This window comes from Homo sapiens, chromosome 4 (genome assembly GCF_000001405.40).
Source record: "Homo sapiens chromosome 4, GRCh38.p14 Primary Assembly".
Lineage (NCBI taxonomy): Eukaryota > Metazoa > Chordata > Mammalia > Primates > Hominidae > Homo > Homo sapiens.
Window position 1 is genome coordinate 55,583,624 of NC_000004.12, and position 16,271 is coordinate 55,599,894.

Here is a 16,271-nt window from a genome sequence, read left to right on the forward strand (position 1 = left end):
TCTTCTATATGTGGATATCCTGTTTCCCAACACCCATTATTGAAGAGACTGTCCTTTTCCCCATTGTGTGTTCTTGTCCCCTTTGTCAAAAATCAATTGACTGTAAATGCATGAGTTCATTTTTGAGTTCTCCATTGGTCAATGTCTATTTTATGCCAGTACCACGCTGTTTGGATTACAATGGCTTTACAATATAGTTTGAAGTCAGGTAATGTGATGCCTCTGGTTTTCTTCTTTTTGCTCAAGATTGTCTTAGCTATTCAGAGTTTTTTGTAGTGCCATATGGATTTTAGAATTGCTTTTTCTACTTCTGTATAAAAGGGCATATTGGAATCTTGATAAGGACTATATGGAATCTACAGATTGCTTTGGGTAATATGAACACTTTAACAATAATTTTTCCAATCCATGAACATGGAATATCTTCCTATTTATTTGTGTCTTCTTCAATTTCTTTCATCAACGTTTTATCATTTTCAGTCTATGAATTTTTCATGTCCTTGGTTAAATTTATTCCTAAGTATTTACTTTTTTGTAAATATTATAAATGGGATTATTTTCTTGATTTCTTTCTCTGATAGTTCATTGTTAGTATACAGAAATGTTACTAGTTTTTTTTTGTTGTTGTTGTTTTGTTTTGTTTTGTTTTTTGAGATGAAGTCTCGTTCTGTCGCCCAGGCTGGAGTGCAGTGGTGCAAACTCAGCTCACTGCAACCTCTGCCTCCTGGGTTCAAGTGATTCTCCTGCCTCAGCCTCCCGAGTAGCTGGGACTACAGGTGCCTACCACCTCGCCCGGCTAATTTTTGTATTTTTAGTAGAGATGAGGTTTCACCATGTTGGCCAGGCTGGTCTCGAACTCCTGGCTGCAAGTGATTCACCCATCTCGGCCTCTCAAAGTGCTAGGATTACAGGTATGAGCCACCATGCCTGGCCAGAAATGCTACTAGTTTTCATATTGTTTTGGAATCCTGCAACTTTACTGTATCCATTTATTAGTTCTAACAGTTTTTTTGGTGGGGACTTTAGGGTTTTACATATACAAGATTACATCATCAGCAAACAGCAACAATTTCACTATTTCCTTACCTGTTTGGATGCCTTTTATTTATTTCTCTTGCTTACTTGCTCTGGCAAAGACCTCTGGTACTATATTGAATAGAAGTAGTGAGAATGGGCATCCTTGTCTACGAAAAAAACCTTTCAACTTTACCATTGAATATCATCTGTAGGCTTGTTGTATATGCCTTTATTGTGCTGAGGTACATTCCCTCTATACCTAATTTGTTGCAAGTTTTTATCATGAAAGGATATTAAATTTGGTTGAATGTTTTTTCTGCATCTAACAAGATGATCATATGATTTTTGTCCATAATTCTGTTAATGTGGTGTGTCATATTTGTAGATTTGCGTATGCTGAAACATCCTTGCATCCACAAGATAAATCCCACTTAATTGTGGTACATTATTCTTTTAATGTGCTGTTGACTTCAGTTTGCTAGTATTTTGTTGGGGATTTTTACATCTGTGTTCCTCAGAGATAATGGCTTGTAATTTTCTTTTCTTGTAATGTCCAGGTCTGGCTTTGATGTCAAGGTAATGCTGATCTCATTAAAAAGATTTAGGGCTGGGTGCAGTGGCTCATGCCTATAATCCCAGGACTTTAGCAGGCCGAGGTGGGTAGATCACCTGAAGTCAGGAGTTCGAGACCAGCCTGGCCAACATGGTGAAACCCTGTCTCTACTAAAAATACAAAAATTAGCTGGGCACAGTGGCAGGCACCTGTAATCCCAGCTACTCGGGAGACTGAGGCAGGAGAATCACTTGAACCCGGGAGGCGGAGGTTGCAGTGAGCCGAGATTGCGCCATTGCACTCCAGCCTGGGAGACAAAGTGAGATACTGTCACACACACACACACACAGACACACACACACACACACAAAGATTTAGAAGTATTCCTTCCTTTTCTATTTTTGGAAGAGTTTAAGAAGGATTGTTATTAGTTCTCCTTGAAATGTTTGGTCAAATTTACTGGTGAAGGCATCAGGTCCCGGACTTTTCGTTGATGGGAGCCTTTTAATTTTTTATTCAATCTCCTTATTTGTTATTGGTCTGTTTAGATTTTGTATTTCTTCTTGATCCACTGTTGGTAGGCTATATGTGTCTATGGATTTATCCATTTCTTCTAGGTTATCCAATCCATTGGCATGTAACTGTTCATATTAATGTCTTACAATGCTTTGTATTTCTGTGGTATCAGCTGTAAGGCCTCCTCTTTTGTTTCTGATTTTATCTGAGTCTTCTTTATTCTTAGTATAGCTAAGGTTTTGTTGATTTTATATTTTCAAAAAACCAAAGATTTTCTTGATTTTTTCTATTGTTTTTCTAGTCTTTATTTCATTTATTTCTGCTCTTTGTTATTTATTTCCTTCTGATAACTATAAGCTTAGTTTGTTCTTTTTTGTTTTAGGCATTTATTGCTATGCATTTCCCTCTTAAATCTGCTTCTGCTGCCTTCCATAGGTTTTGTTGTAGTTCCATTTTTGTTTTTCTCAATATATTTTAAACTTTCTCTTCTAATTTCTTCTTTGACCCATTGGTTGTTCAGTAGCATGTTGTTTAGTTTCCACATGTTTGTTAATTTTCTAAGATTTCCTCTGTTATTCATTTCTGTAATAGAAAAACTGTACTCATTAAATAATAGCCCCTCATTCTCTCCTCTTCCAAACTCCAGGAAACCATTGTTCCATGTTCTACTTTCTACCATGTATTTGACTATTCTGTGTACTTCATGCAGGTGGAACCATACAATAGTTGTCCTTTTGTGACTGGCTTATTTCGCTTAGCATGTTTTCAAGGTTCGACTATGTTGTAGCATGTAGCAGAATTCCATTCTTTTTTAAGGTTGAATAATATTCCATTGTACCTATATACCACATTTTGTTTATTCATCCATCAATGGACATTTGGGTAGTTTTCACTTTTCATTATTAGGAATAAAGCTGTTATAAAAATGGGTATACAAATATCTGTTTAAGTCCTTACTTTCAATTCTTTTGGGTACATACCTGGAAGGAGAATTACTGAATCATATGATATCTGTTTAATTTGGAAGGAAATTACCAGTTTTCCACAGCAGTTGTGCAATTTTACATTCCCACCAGCAATGCAAAAGGATTCTAATTTGTCTATATCCTTATCAACAGTTTTGTTATTGCCCATCTTTTCTATCATAAACATTCTAGTGGGTGTGAAGTAGACTGTGGTTTTGAGCTGCATCCCCTTCATTATTAGTGATGTTAAGCATCTTTTCATGTGTTTATTGGCTATTTGGAGATCTTCTTTTAAGAAACGTCTATTCAAGTTTGTCTTAGTCCAGTTTGTACTCTATAACAAAATATCTTAGACTGGGTAAATTATAAAGAACAGAAATTTATTTTTCACTGTTCTGGAGGCTGGGAAATCTAAGATTATGGCACTGTCAAGTTCATTGTCCAGTGAGGGTCTGATCTCTTCTTTCAAGATGGTACCTTGAACACTGTGTCTTCCAGAGGAGAGGAACACTGTGTCCTCACGTGGCAAAAGACAGAATAGTAAAAAAAAAAAAAAAAAAAAAAAAAAAAAAGGGACATACTCTCTGTAGCAAGCCCTTTTATAAGGGTATCTAATCCCATTTATAAGGAAGGAGACTTCATGGCCTAATCACCTCTTAAAGGCCCCACCTCCTAATACTATCACATTGGAAACAACTGAATTTTGGAGCAGACACACTCAAACTATAGCAAAATCTTTTGCCCATTTTTATATTGGGTTGTTTGTCTTTTTGTTGTTGAGTTTTAGGAAGTCTTTATATCTTCTGGATATTATCCTCTTATCAAATATATGATCAGCCAATATTTTCTATTCTGTGGGTTGTCTTTTTTCTTTTTCTGTTTTTTTTAAATTTTTTTTTTTTGAGATGAAGTCTCAGTCTATTGCTCAGGATGGAGTGCAGTGGAGCAATCTCGGCTCACTGAGAATTCTTCCTAGGTTTAAACGATTCTCCTGCTTCAGCCTCCTGAGTAGCTAAGATTACAGATGCCCACCACCACACCCAGCTAATTTTTGTATTTTTAGTAGAGATTGGGTTTCACCATGTTGGCCAGGTTGGTCTCAAACTCCTGACCTCAAATGATCCACCTGCCTCAGCCTCCCAAAGTGCTGGGATTACAGGTTTCAGCCACTGTGTCTCAACACTTGTCTTTTCATTCTCTTGATAATATCCTCTGACGCAAAAAAATGTTTTAAATTTGGTAAAGTACAATTTATTTTTTTCTTTTGTTACCTGTGCTTTTGGTGTCATAACCAAGAAATTATTGTCAAACTCAATGTCATGAATCTATCTTATGTTTCCTTTTAAGAGATTTCTACCTTTAGCTATAGGACTTTGATGCAGTTTGAGTTAATTTTTGTATACAGTTGTGAAAGAAAAATAAATCTCAGGACCCCCAAATCACTAAGCCAAGGGAAAAGTCAAGTTGGGAACTATGTCAGGCAAACCTGCCTCCCATTTTACTCCTAAATAAAATAGCTACAAAGACACAAGCTACACACCTCCCTCACAATTTGCCCAAAAGGAAATTCCTTGTGGACAAAGGACAGACAGAACTGAAAGTCATCCCTCTCAGACTCACCTGAGACAAATGCATATCTGATTGCTTCCTCTGCTCTACTGTTTATGTAAAAGTGCAGACTCACTGAGCCAGACTAAATTGTGTATTCAGTGGAAGGCTAATCAAGGACTCAAAAGGATCAAGGACTCTCTTATCTACTTCTGACCTTAAAGCCCCCTCTTGAAGTTGTCCTGCCTTACTAGACCAAATCAATGTACATCTTACACATATTGAATGATGTCTCCCGAAATGCAAGCTGTACCCCAACCACACTGGACGCATGTCATCAGGACCTCTTAAGGCTGTGTCATGGGTACATCCTTAACCTTGGCAAAATAAACTTTCTAAGTCAACTGAAACCTGTTTCAGATATTTCAGATTCACAAAGTCTAAGATAAGGTTCCAACTTCATTCTTTTGCATGTGGATACCCAGTTTACCCAGCACCCTTTATTGAAAAAAAATTAACTGTTGCCCATTTAATGGTCTTGGCACTCTTGTTAAAAATTTTTTGAAAATATGTGTGGGTTTATTTCAAGGCTTTCTATTCTACTCTATTTGTCTGTTTTATAGTTTTCAGTATTTATAAGTACTTTTTTTTTTTTTAGAGAGTCTCGCTCTGTTGCCCAGGCTGGAGTACAGTGGCGTGATCTGGGCTCACTGCAAGCTCTGCCTCCTGGGTTCATGCCATTCTCTTGCCTCAGCCTCCCAAGTAGCTGGGACCACAGGCGCCTGCCACCAAACCTGGCTAATTTTTTGTATTTTTTTAGTAGAGACGGGGTTTCACCGTGTTAGCCAGGATGGTCTCGATCTCCTGACCTCGTGATCCGCCCACCTCGGCCTCCCAAAGTGCTGGTATTACAGGCATGAGCCACCGCGCCCAGCCAGTACGGATGTTTTATAACCTATTTCTGATCATTCTGTTATCTAAAAATCTCTGTAAATCTGTTTCTGTTGGTTCATGGTCTCATGGTGGCTTATTTCCTTGTGTGCTTGGTTACCTTTGACTGATTTCTGCTTTCTGTCCTCGAAAACTTATTGATGGGAATTCCTTAAAGCCTAAACTAAAGACATCTTCCTCTACAGAGGATTTATATTTTTTTTCTTCCAGGTATTTGAGAGCACTACAATATATAACGAATTCACAGTTTAAGGTTGCTGGACCACCCAACAATACGACTCAGGTTACAAATCCATATGAGAGCTGTCTTAGGCCGAAATGTTTTTCGACAGGGTTTACTCCTTTTCATTTTCTCTTCTGTTCCAATAAGCACCAAGATATCCTTCCCTGAATTCTCCTAGACATGTGTTTACCTCCGGTTCACCCTCCTATTCATCTCCCATCCTTTGATGGACCAAACCCTTTGGTTCCACCTCAAATAATTTTCTATCATTCTGACTTCTTAGCTGGGACAGACTCCTGTAATAAAAGACAGATTAACAAGAGAAAAAGAGTTTATGAGTATGTATACCTCATGGATACATTGGAGATACCAGGGAAAATGAGTGTATGTCAAAGAGGTTGCTTAAAATTCAGGCTTAAATACCATGTTTCGCTGAAACAAAAGAAGAAGGGTATGTGGGAGGCAAGTTATGGGGAGGTGACCAGGAAAAGCAGGGTACATTAAGAGTAAGCTTTGGCAGCCAGGCGCAGTGACTCATGCCTGTAATCCCAGCGCTTTGAGAGGCCAAAGCAGGCAGATCTTTTGAGGTCAGGACTCCAAGACCAGCCTGGCCAACATGGTGAAACCCTGTCTCTACTAAAAATACAAAAATTAGCCAGGCGTGGTGGTGCACTCCTGTAATCCCAGCTACTCAGGAGGCTGAGGCAGGAGAATTGCTTGAACCCGGGAGGTGGAGGTTGCAGTAAGCTGAGATCGCACCACTGTACTCCAGCCTGGATGACAGAGCTAGGCTCTGTCTCAAAAAAAAAAAAAAAAAAAAAAAAAGAGTAAGGTTTGTTGTGCGGATTTCAGGTGGTACCTTTTCCACCTTGAGCCCAACAGTTTGAGATCAACCTGGGTTTGGCGAGGCCCCATCTCTACAAAAAAAAAAATTAACTGTGTATGGTGGCATGCACCTGTAGTCCCAGCTACTAGGGATGCTGAGGTGGGAGAACACTTGAGCCTGGGAGGTTGATCATGTCACTGCACTCCAGGCTGGGTGACAGAGCAAGATCCTGTCTCCAAAAAAAAAAAAAAAAAGACATGAACTATGAATTTTTTCCCCCCCGAGATGGAATCTTGCTCTGTCACCCAGGCTGGAGTGCAGTGGTGCACTCTCAGCTCACTGCATCCTCCGCCTCCTGGGTTCAAGCGATTCTCCTGTCTCAGCCTCCCAAGTAGCTGGGACTACAGGTATGTGCCACAATGTCCAGCTAATTTTTTTTTTTTTGTATTTTTAGTAGAAATGGGGTTTTGCCATGTAGGCCAGGCTGGTCTTGAACTCCTGACCTCAAGGGATCTGCCTGCCTCAGCCTCCCAAAGTGCTGGGGTTACAGGCATGAGCCACTGCCCTCGGCCATGAAATTTTATCTAACAGAAACAGGCACCACAATCTATTTGCTCAAACTATGAAGGCATTTACCATGCCATTAATAGTTATATCTGTCTTCTTCTTGTTCCCTCATTAGTAAGCTCTTAGAACAGGTCCGTATCTAAAACATAAGCACTGAATAACTGGCTGTTGAATTAATCAGTAAACCAACAAAGATTAATGTGATGTTGCCTTCACTGTCAATTACATTTCAATCCTGAAGAGCAGATGCAAATCAGGACAAATCTGCAATGTTTTTACACACATATAAAATGTGCTTGCTACGAATCCATTATTAGCATGAAAGGACTGGCCATAAAAAATTATATGTAACTGATGTTCAAAATATCCTAATAAATTATACAGTACATACAAACACCCAAAATTAAATATGTAAAATGAGAAAAATCCCAGTGGTTTTAATCTGCAGGAGCAGGTGGGGAAAAGGTGTTTCTGTAAGTTAGAAAGACAATTTTACTGTACCAAAAAAAAAAAAGGACGGCACAGGCTTCTGATTAATAAGGAACCATTAGACAGAGGAGGAGCCTTCTAAGAAACATTTTGGAAGTCTGAGTTTTTGTTTGTTTGTTTGTTTGTTCTGAGGCGCAGTCTCACTCTGCCGCCAGGCTGGAGTGCAGTGGTGCAATCTCGGCTCACTGAAACCTCTGCCTCTGGTTCAAGCGATTCTCCTGCTTCAGCCTCCCAGGTAGCTGGGGCTACAGGCGCACGCCACCACGCCCAGGTAATTTTTGTATTTTTAGTAGAGATGGGGTTTCACCATGTTGGCCAAGATGGTCTCAATCTCTTGACCTGTGATCCGCCCGCCTCCGCCTCCCAAAAGTCTAACAGAGTTTTTGAGGTGAGGTGCAAGAAACTCTAGGGACATATGGTATTAAGACATATGTGACTAGTAGGTTTTCTGTTCTTATTTTTTAAGGTAGTGGAGGAGGACAACCAAATTGAATTACACTTGGGCTAACGTTGCCGCTCTATTAAGTCAAAAATAGTATTCAGCAGTAAGATTTCTATGATTTTGGTGTGAAACACAATACGTAACAACTCTTTTAACGTTTTCTCCAGCGACAGACACAAGTCTTAAAGGCTGAAAAAATGGCGTTCTCCTAGAGGATTTTTCTCAAAACTAGACAGAGAAGCACGCAAAATTTAGCACTTTCCAAGAACAAATGTTAGAGCCTACCTCCTGTGTCCGCCCTCCCCATTTGTGTCCCTTGGCTTCGGGCCCAGCTGGAGACCCACTGGGTGTTCCAGGGTGGCTCGGCAGGTCCCGACCCTCACCTGCATGATGCGCTGCTCTGCCCCTCAAGAGCCCGCGTCGTCCTGCAGCTGGCGAGGCGCCACGGATGGAGACCCGCAGCCTTCTCCAGGCTGGAAGAGCGCCCGCTTCAGGCCCGGCGGTTTCGAGTGACCGCCAGAAGAGGGAGAGGCGAACAAGGACTTGTTACGCATGGGCGGGCGTGGCAGCTTGGTTGCCAGGCAATGCAGAGGCCCAACACAGGGGATGGTTGTGGGTACTGACGCGCCAGGTCCTGGAGCATCTATCCCAAGCACTGCCTTTCCTGTTCCCTTTGTGGTGCTGGTGCTGACATTCTTGTCAACTTTTCCCTCCATCACCACCATTGAATCAACCGATTGTTTCAGAGACTCTGGCACCCTTCAAACCCTGAGTCCTGTCTTCATGGAGAAATAACAAACTCCTGGGGTGGAGAACCCTTCAGAGGAGGCGTTCTTAACCTGGAATCCATAGACTATATATTTTTTTGTTTAGAGACAGAGTCTTGCTCTGTCTCACCGGCTGGAGTGAAGTGGTGCAAACACTGCTCACAGCAGCCTCCACCTCCACGGCTCAAGCAGTCCTCCTGTCTAAGCATCCCATGTAGCTGGGATCACAGATGCATGTGCCATCATACCCAGATAACTTCTTAAATTTTTTTGTACAGACAGGGGTCTCACATGTTGCCTAGGCTGGTTTTGAACTCCTGAGCTCAAGTGATCCTCCCACCTCAGCCTCCCAAAGTGCTGGGATTACAGGCATGAGCCACTACACTTAGCCCATACAATGTATTTGGATAGATTTTAGGGAATATCTTGCCCCCCAGCCCCCAAGTGTACTACACGTAATTTTGTTGTATGTGTACATTTTTTTCTGAAATTAAGAGCCAGAGCTTTCATTAGATGCTTAAATGGGACTGTAGGCTCCCCAACTCCATCTTAAAAAATCCACTGCCTTAAGTGACAGAAGCTCTGGCTTTAGGCCAGGCACGGTGGCACAAGCCTGCAGTCCCAGCTCTTTGGGAGGCTGAGGCAGGTGGATCACTTGAGGTCAGGAGTTCAAGACCAGCCTGGCCAACATGGTGAAACCTCATCTCTACTAAAAATACAAAAACTAACAGGATGTGGCAGGTGCCTGTAATCCCAGCTACTCAGGAGGCTGAGGCAGGAGAATCACTTGAACCCAGGAGGCAGAGTTTGCAGTGAGTCAAGATCACGCCACTGCACTCCAGCCTGGGCGACAGAGTGAGATCTGTCTAAATAAAAAAAAAAAAAAAAAAAAAAAAAAAAAAAAAAAAGCTCTGGTTTTAGGTAGGATGCCTAGACAGGTAGGGGTTCCTCTGTGTTTAAATTAAGGAAAGGATGTTTACTGGGAGATGCCAGGAACTTGAGGAAAACACTTGGTGTTTTATACAAGTTGTTTTACACAGTTCCAGAGATATACTCACAGGACTTGGAAAGAAAAAAAATGTTTTTAATGACATAACTTTAAACTTGGGTTCAACATGGGGCCAGTCCATCTCTAGTGCCTAGCTGATACTTAATACAAATCTTATACTCCTAGTAGCCCATATATTCTGTTGTGTTTGTGTATGAGACATGAATCTGTTAAATATAAATAATTAAGAACATATCACAATTTTTGTAATCATGTCTTGGTATTTTTCTCATCTTCTTCTTCTTCCTCTTTCTTCTTCTTATTCATCCCAGGAGCCCTAAAAATGTTACCTATGTCTCTCTGGATTTCTGAGAGGCCCTGGGAACTGCTGATTAAATTAATATTCTTTTCTTATTTTGACAATCCAAAGTCCAGGCTAGTGGAAGTACTGTGCACAGAACTAGCTAATGCTGCCCCATGCATTTGTGGTTTTAGGGCAGCATGCTCTCCTTGCTCTCAAGTCCCCATCTTATCAAGGCAATTTATTTTTCTAAAAATAATGTATTTTTTTCTCTTCTGCTTCTTCTTATTAACCTGAGTTCTTCACTCAGGTTAACAAGAAGTGAAATTCAGGAACTTTGTTAGTAAAAGGTGTAACTTAAGCTATAATAATTGGTCAACATTAGAAAGACAAAGATTTGTTAGATACTCTGCTCTGAAGAATGTCTGTATAGACCCAATTCTACCTACTCAAAAGAGCCACTCCTTTCCAATCGGCCAGCAACCTTCCTGATGGAGGAGGTGGGAATCTAAGACAGAGGTCAGAAGGAAAAAAGATCAAGGGGAACCTCAGAGGAGATAAATTCAATCTCCATCTGAAGTTAACTCTGTGCCCACTAAACATTTATTTGATGTTAAAAGTTCCCAATGTGTGTTCATGATCCTCTATTAATAAGATTATTTTCTTTCTGCTAATAGACAAGACTGGTTGCCTTTCAGATATTGCGAGGTGAAGTAACTTATTTTAGGATAAATTGAATACTATGAGTTGGTAGAAGAAGTTAGTCCTCTGATATATTTGTAGCAATCAGAAATCCATTATACAGTTTATAAATCAGAACTTGCTTATTGGACTATTGGATGGGTTATGGCCCAATCCTCCAACTAGTATAGTTTCAGTTGGTGCTCACATTCTAAGATTGGTAGCTACTGGGCATTCTGGTATTTATGAGAGCTGGTGGTTTTGTCACTGACAAAAATCCAAACATGATAAACTAAAACAGCTCATTAAAACTCAACTCTCAACTCTCTCTGAGTGCCTTTAATGAAAACATCAAAAAAGCATATGGGCAGGGCATGGTGACTCATGCTTGTAATCCCAGCACTTTGGGAGGCCAAGGCAGGTGGATAACCTGCGGTCAGGAGTTCGAGACCAGCCTGGCCAACATGGTGAAACCCCATCTCTACTAAAAATACAAAAAAAATACAAAAAAAAAAGTTAGCTGAGCATGGTGGCGCATGCCTGTAATCCCAGCTAGTCGGGAGGCTGAGGCAGGAGAATCGCTTGAACCCGGGAGGCAGAGGTTGCAGTGAGCCAAGATCACACCACTGCACTCCAGCCTGGGTGACAGAGCCAAACTGTCTCAAAAAAAAAAATGCATGTGTGCTGTACTGTCAAACCTGGCAGGGATCTAAGGAACATCATTATTTACAGGTTTATTACACAGTATTTCTCATTAAAACACTAAGCAAAAATATTTTTAGATTTTTTAATTTTCAACAAATTGAACATTTACAACATTGTTACAACTGAGAACATTGACAACACAGGGATTTTCAACAGAGTACATTTAGCAAGGATTTTTTTCAGAAGAAAACAAAATGTCAGTACATTTTGTATTCCATAGCATTGCTCTGTGGAAAATTAGCTGGCATCCTGTAAAAAAAGAAAAATTGAATTAAAGTGTAAATGACCACGTGAATGTGTGTATATAATGTTTGTATATAGACATTTCTATAAATATTTTGTCATAGAATAACAGTAGCATCTGACATATTTCCCAGCTGTATATATATATATATATATATACACACACACACACACACACATGCACACAGACAGAAGAAATATATATATGTGTGTGTGTGTATATATATATATATATATATTTTTTTTTTTTTTTGAGACAGAGTCTTGCTCTGTTGCCCAGGTTGGAGTGCAGTGGCGCGATCTTGGCTCACTGCAACCTCCACCTCCCGGGATCAAGCAATTCTCCTGCCTCAGCCTCCTGAGTAGCTGGTATTACAGAAGTGCACCACCATGCCCAGCTAATTTTTGTATTTTTAGTAGAGACAGAGTTTCACCATGTTGGTCAGGCTGGTCTCAAATTCCTGACCTCTAGTGATCTGCCCCTTTGGCCTCCCAAAGTGCTGGGATTACAGGGGTGAGTCACCGTACCCGACCTGTCTGTATATTTTTAACTATATATCATTTAATCTGTCTCTAATGGAACACTTATTCTGTATGTCTGTGTCTTCCAACAGTTTACAGTATTTAACTATTTAAAAGTGATTTCCTAAAGCTCATTAATACCAATAAGATTTATGAATAAGCTATTTCAAAGGCTTACATTTACTCCTTGTATATCTATTTCCTCCTATATTTGCAACTAAATCATTCTATTTTATGTTTAACCACTTTCTAAATAAATATAGGTCATCAGGATAGAGAAAGGCCTTAGAAAATCAGATGAGAAAAACAAAGAAAAAATGATTATTATATTGTTTTTCTATTGGCAAAATAAAATGAAATCACGAGTACATTAGTTTATGGACACCCTAATCTTGAAAATAATCTGAATAAAGCAATTATTCTCAATTTTGGAGGTTTTTTTTTTTTTTTACTAAATTCACCAAATCATGGATTAAGTTCTGTTTCACATTGTGAACACTCTAATACTTATTTCAATGTTACAATCACAGGTATTTTTTCCCATTTAATATTAAGCTATTTAATAAAATTTTTAAATGCCAATGTACATTTATAATATTATAAAAGATAAAATAGTTTCTTTTCCATTAGCTCTCTGTTCTTTGTTCCTTGAAAAAATACAAAATTAAGGATATGTTTTCTCATATTCCTTATGTGAACATAATTTATCAGGCCTCTTCTGAAGCAGGAGTTAATACCAAACACAGTCTGCAAATTCAAGTTCCTAATTATGTCCCATGAGCACATTAAATTTTTCCTTCGCTTTTCCACTATTTGAATCTTTTATTTCTTTCTTTTCTAATTGAATTGGCTAACACATTAAGAACTACATTAAATAAGAAATTAGAGAGTATCTTTATCTTGTTCCTGACATTAACGGAAAAGCTCCAAAGTGTTTCACTAACAAGTCAGCTACTGTACTAACTTGGTTTGAGACCATTGTATAAATCATGTCAAGAAAGGTTTAATCTCTTCCTAATAGATCAGAAATTGATGTGAAATTTTACCAAAAGCATCTGTTGAGATTATCATAATTTTTCTTCTAATAGTGAAAACTTTTAACACACTTCTTAACGTTGAACAACCATCCTTGAGTTGCTGGAACAAATCTTAGTGGGGTCATAAAATTATTTAAGTATACTGATGAATACTGTTTAATAATATTCCTTTTAAATTTTTACATTAATATTTATAAATACAATTTACTTACAGTTTCATTTTTTTATACTTTTTAAAAGTTTTTGTATTAATATTATGCTGGCTTCATAAAAATATTGGGTAATTTTTCTTCTTTCTCTGAGCTGAAAAAATTCAAAATTATTGGCTTAGTACTTTTTGAGGGTATATTGTGGGTATAGTTTCTTTTTTTTCTTCTTCTTCTTCTTTTTGAGACAGAGTATAGTTTTGAGTGGGCATAGTTTCCTTTTTTTTTGCTCTTGTTGCCCAGGCTGGAGTACAATGGTGCAGTCTTGGCTCACTGCAACCTCTCCCTCCTGGGTTCAGGTGATTCTCCTGCCTCAGCCTCCCGAGTAGCTGGGATTACAGGCATGCACCACCACACCAGGCTAATTTTGTATTTTTAGGAGAGACAGGATTTCTCCATGTTGGTCAGGCTGGTCAGGCTCCCGACCTCAGGTGATCCGCCCACCTTGGCCTCCCAAGGTGCTGGGATTACAGGCGTGAGCCACCGTGCCCAGCCGCGGGTATAGTTTCTAGATAACATATTCCAATTTTTTCCCCATACCTATTAGTCTGTTTAGTGTTTTTCTTTCTTCTGAGGTCAATTTTGGTAGCACCTACTTTATTAGACAATCCTCCATTTTATCCAGGTTTCCAAACTGATGTGTAGAGAGATGTGCAAAGTACTCTTTCATGATTTTTATTTCTTCTCTGTTTTAATTTCTCTTTTCATTTGTACTTTTCTATATTTATGATTTTATCCTTTTTCTTGATTACACTAGTATAATTTATTTTATTTTTTGTAAAGAATTACTGACAGATTTTTGCTTTGTTTACCGTCCTTCTACTTTACTATTTTTAACATCAATTTCTTCTTTCATTTTTATAACTTTCTTCCTTCTGCCTTCTTGAAATTTACTTTGTTGTTGTTGTTTTGGTTGTGGTTTTTTTTTTTTTTTTTTTTTGTGAGATAAGTTCTTGTTCTATTGCCTTGGCTGGAATGCAGAGGAAAGATCATAGCTCACAGCCTCAAACTCCTGGGCTCAAGCGATCCTCCCATCTCAGCCTCTGAAGTAGCTAGGACTACAGGCATGCACCACCACATCTGGCTAATTTTTTTCTTAAGTATTTGTAGAGATGGGGTATCAAAATCCTGTGCTCAGGTGATCCTCGTGCCCTAGCCTCCCAAAGTGATGGGATTACAGGCATGAGCCACTATGCCCAGTCTAAAATGAATGATATATTTGAAAAAATATGTTCAGCATAAAATCTGGATTTAGGATTACAAAACTTAATAGAATACACTTTTATTTCTGTGGTATAAATTTATGAATCTGCATTTGGGTTTGATTTCAACTTTTATTGTCTAATAAAATATTAGGATTAACATATTTATTAAACATGTGGGAACAGTCAACAGCTACTAAATTTCTACTCTATGTCCAGCACTGAGGTAGAAATTCTGGTAGCACAAAAGAAGAGGTAACATTCTCTCATGTCTTTCCACATTTTAAAATATTCTCTAGAAACTGGTAAATCACTAGCTTTTATAAAGAATCTTTGAGTATCAGTTATTTAGATGACAGAAGTACTTTCAGTCCGTAAATCTTGGCCCGTTATGATAGACACTGATTACTGCAATAAGAATTCATTCCCTGACATATCCTACTTGCACAATAAATGATGATAAGATCAATGTCTACAAAATCACTTATGATCATTACTATTGTGACATAGTCTGAGGAATAAATGACATAGGCAAAGCAAATGAGGCCCTAAAATACTGGTATTTTCTCATTACAATAAAGCCCTTACAGCTCCTATCATTGTAGTATTTATATGGAACATTCATGTACATATGCAATCAAATAATAGAAATACATTTAACATAGTTTAATTTGTGACTATTTGAAAACAACAGCAAATGTCAAACTGTGTTGAACTGTGAAATGCATACTATTTTATTTATTTATTTGTTTATTTATTTCTCACATACCATTTTAAATGAACCCTGCTGACCTTCTTCCATTCCGTGGCTGAAAAATAATAGATTAGAAATAAATCAGTGTAACTAAAGATGCAAGCTAACAGTCATAGAAACAGATTGATGATTTAGAGGAGTGTTTAACGTGCATCACAATCATCTAGAGGGCTTTTTACAACATAGACTGCTGGACCCCATAGCCAGAATTTCTGATTTAGTAAGTCTGAGAATCCTGAGAAATTTGTATTTCTAACAAGTTCTGAGGTGCTGCTAATGCTGCAAAGACCACCATGAACTAGATGCTATTTGACTTTGCTTATTTCCTTGATGGTACCAACATTTTAAAACAAATGTTCTCAATTTTAATTTGATATGAACCAAAATGAACTTACTGAAGTCAGGGCTGTTTAGCTGCTTACTTCTTCCTGCTATCAGTCCAATTCCTTCATTCAATCCATTCTCTAATTTGCTGTTAGAATTATTTTCCAAAAGGCAAATCTTACCACATTTGCCCCCTCCTTAGCCTTTAGTGTAAAGCTGAAATTTCTTAGCTAAATATTTCATCAACCGATTCCCATTGATGCTTCAGGATTCAGCCCTTGAAGTCTTCTCTGTACCTCTTCCATTCCCCAGCTGGAATTAAATGCTTTTCTTTTGGAAATCACAGCCTTTGGACTACAAGTGCATTTCACACAGTACTTTATATTTGTTTACTTATCTGTTTTGAGCCTATCTAAATTCCTAGAGCATAGGAATGGAATCCTA

The 16,271-nt window shown here is 38.6% G+C and overlaps 2 protein-coding genes across 11 annotated transcripts in view; both read right to left on the minus strand.

The window, feature by feature from the left end:
• PDCL2 (phosducin like 2) overlaps positions 1–8,622 on the minus strand; it is a 35,727-nt gene extending 27,105 nt beyond the window's left edge. For 3 of the 4 annotated variants that reach the window (XM_005265728.4, NM_152401.3, XM_047449616.1), the window contains exon 1: positions 8,481–8,622. In XM_005265728.4, the coding sequence (XP_005265785.1) occupies positions 8,481–8,486 (6 nt within the window). In that variant the 5' untranslated portion in view covers positions 8,487–8,622. Of the gene's footprint in view, positions 1–5,963; positions 6,048–8,480 lie in introns of those variants that run through there. The other variant, XM_011534374.3, reaches the window with a different exon arrangement.
• Positions 8,623–11,607: 2,985 nt separating this feature from the next.
• NMU (neuromedin U) overlaps positions 11,608–16,271 on the minus strand; it is a 41,563-nt gene continuing 36,899 nt past the window's right edge. For all 7 annotated transcript variants that reach the window (NR_120489.2, XM_047449544.1, NM_001292045.2 and 4 more), the window contains 2 exons: positions 15,519–15,558; positions 11,608–11,788 (listed from right to left, as the gene is read on the minus strand). Coding sequence is in view for 6 of the 7 variants with exons in the window: in XM_047449544.1 (XP_047305500.1) it covers positions 15,523–15,558 (36 nt within the window). In the remaining variant the exon portion in view is untranslated. The remainder of the gene's footprint in view (positions 11,789–15,518; positions 15,559–16,271) is intronic.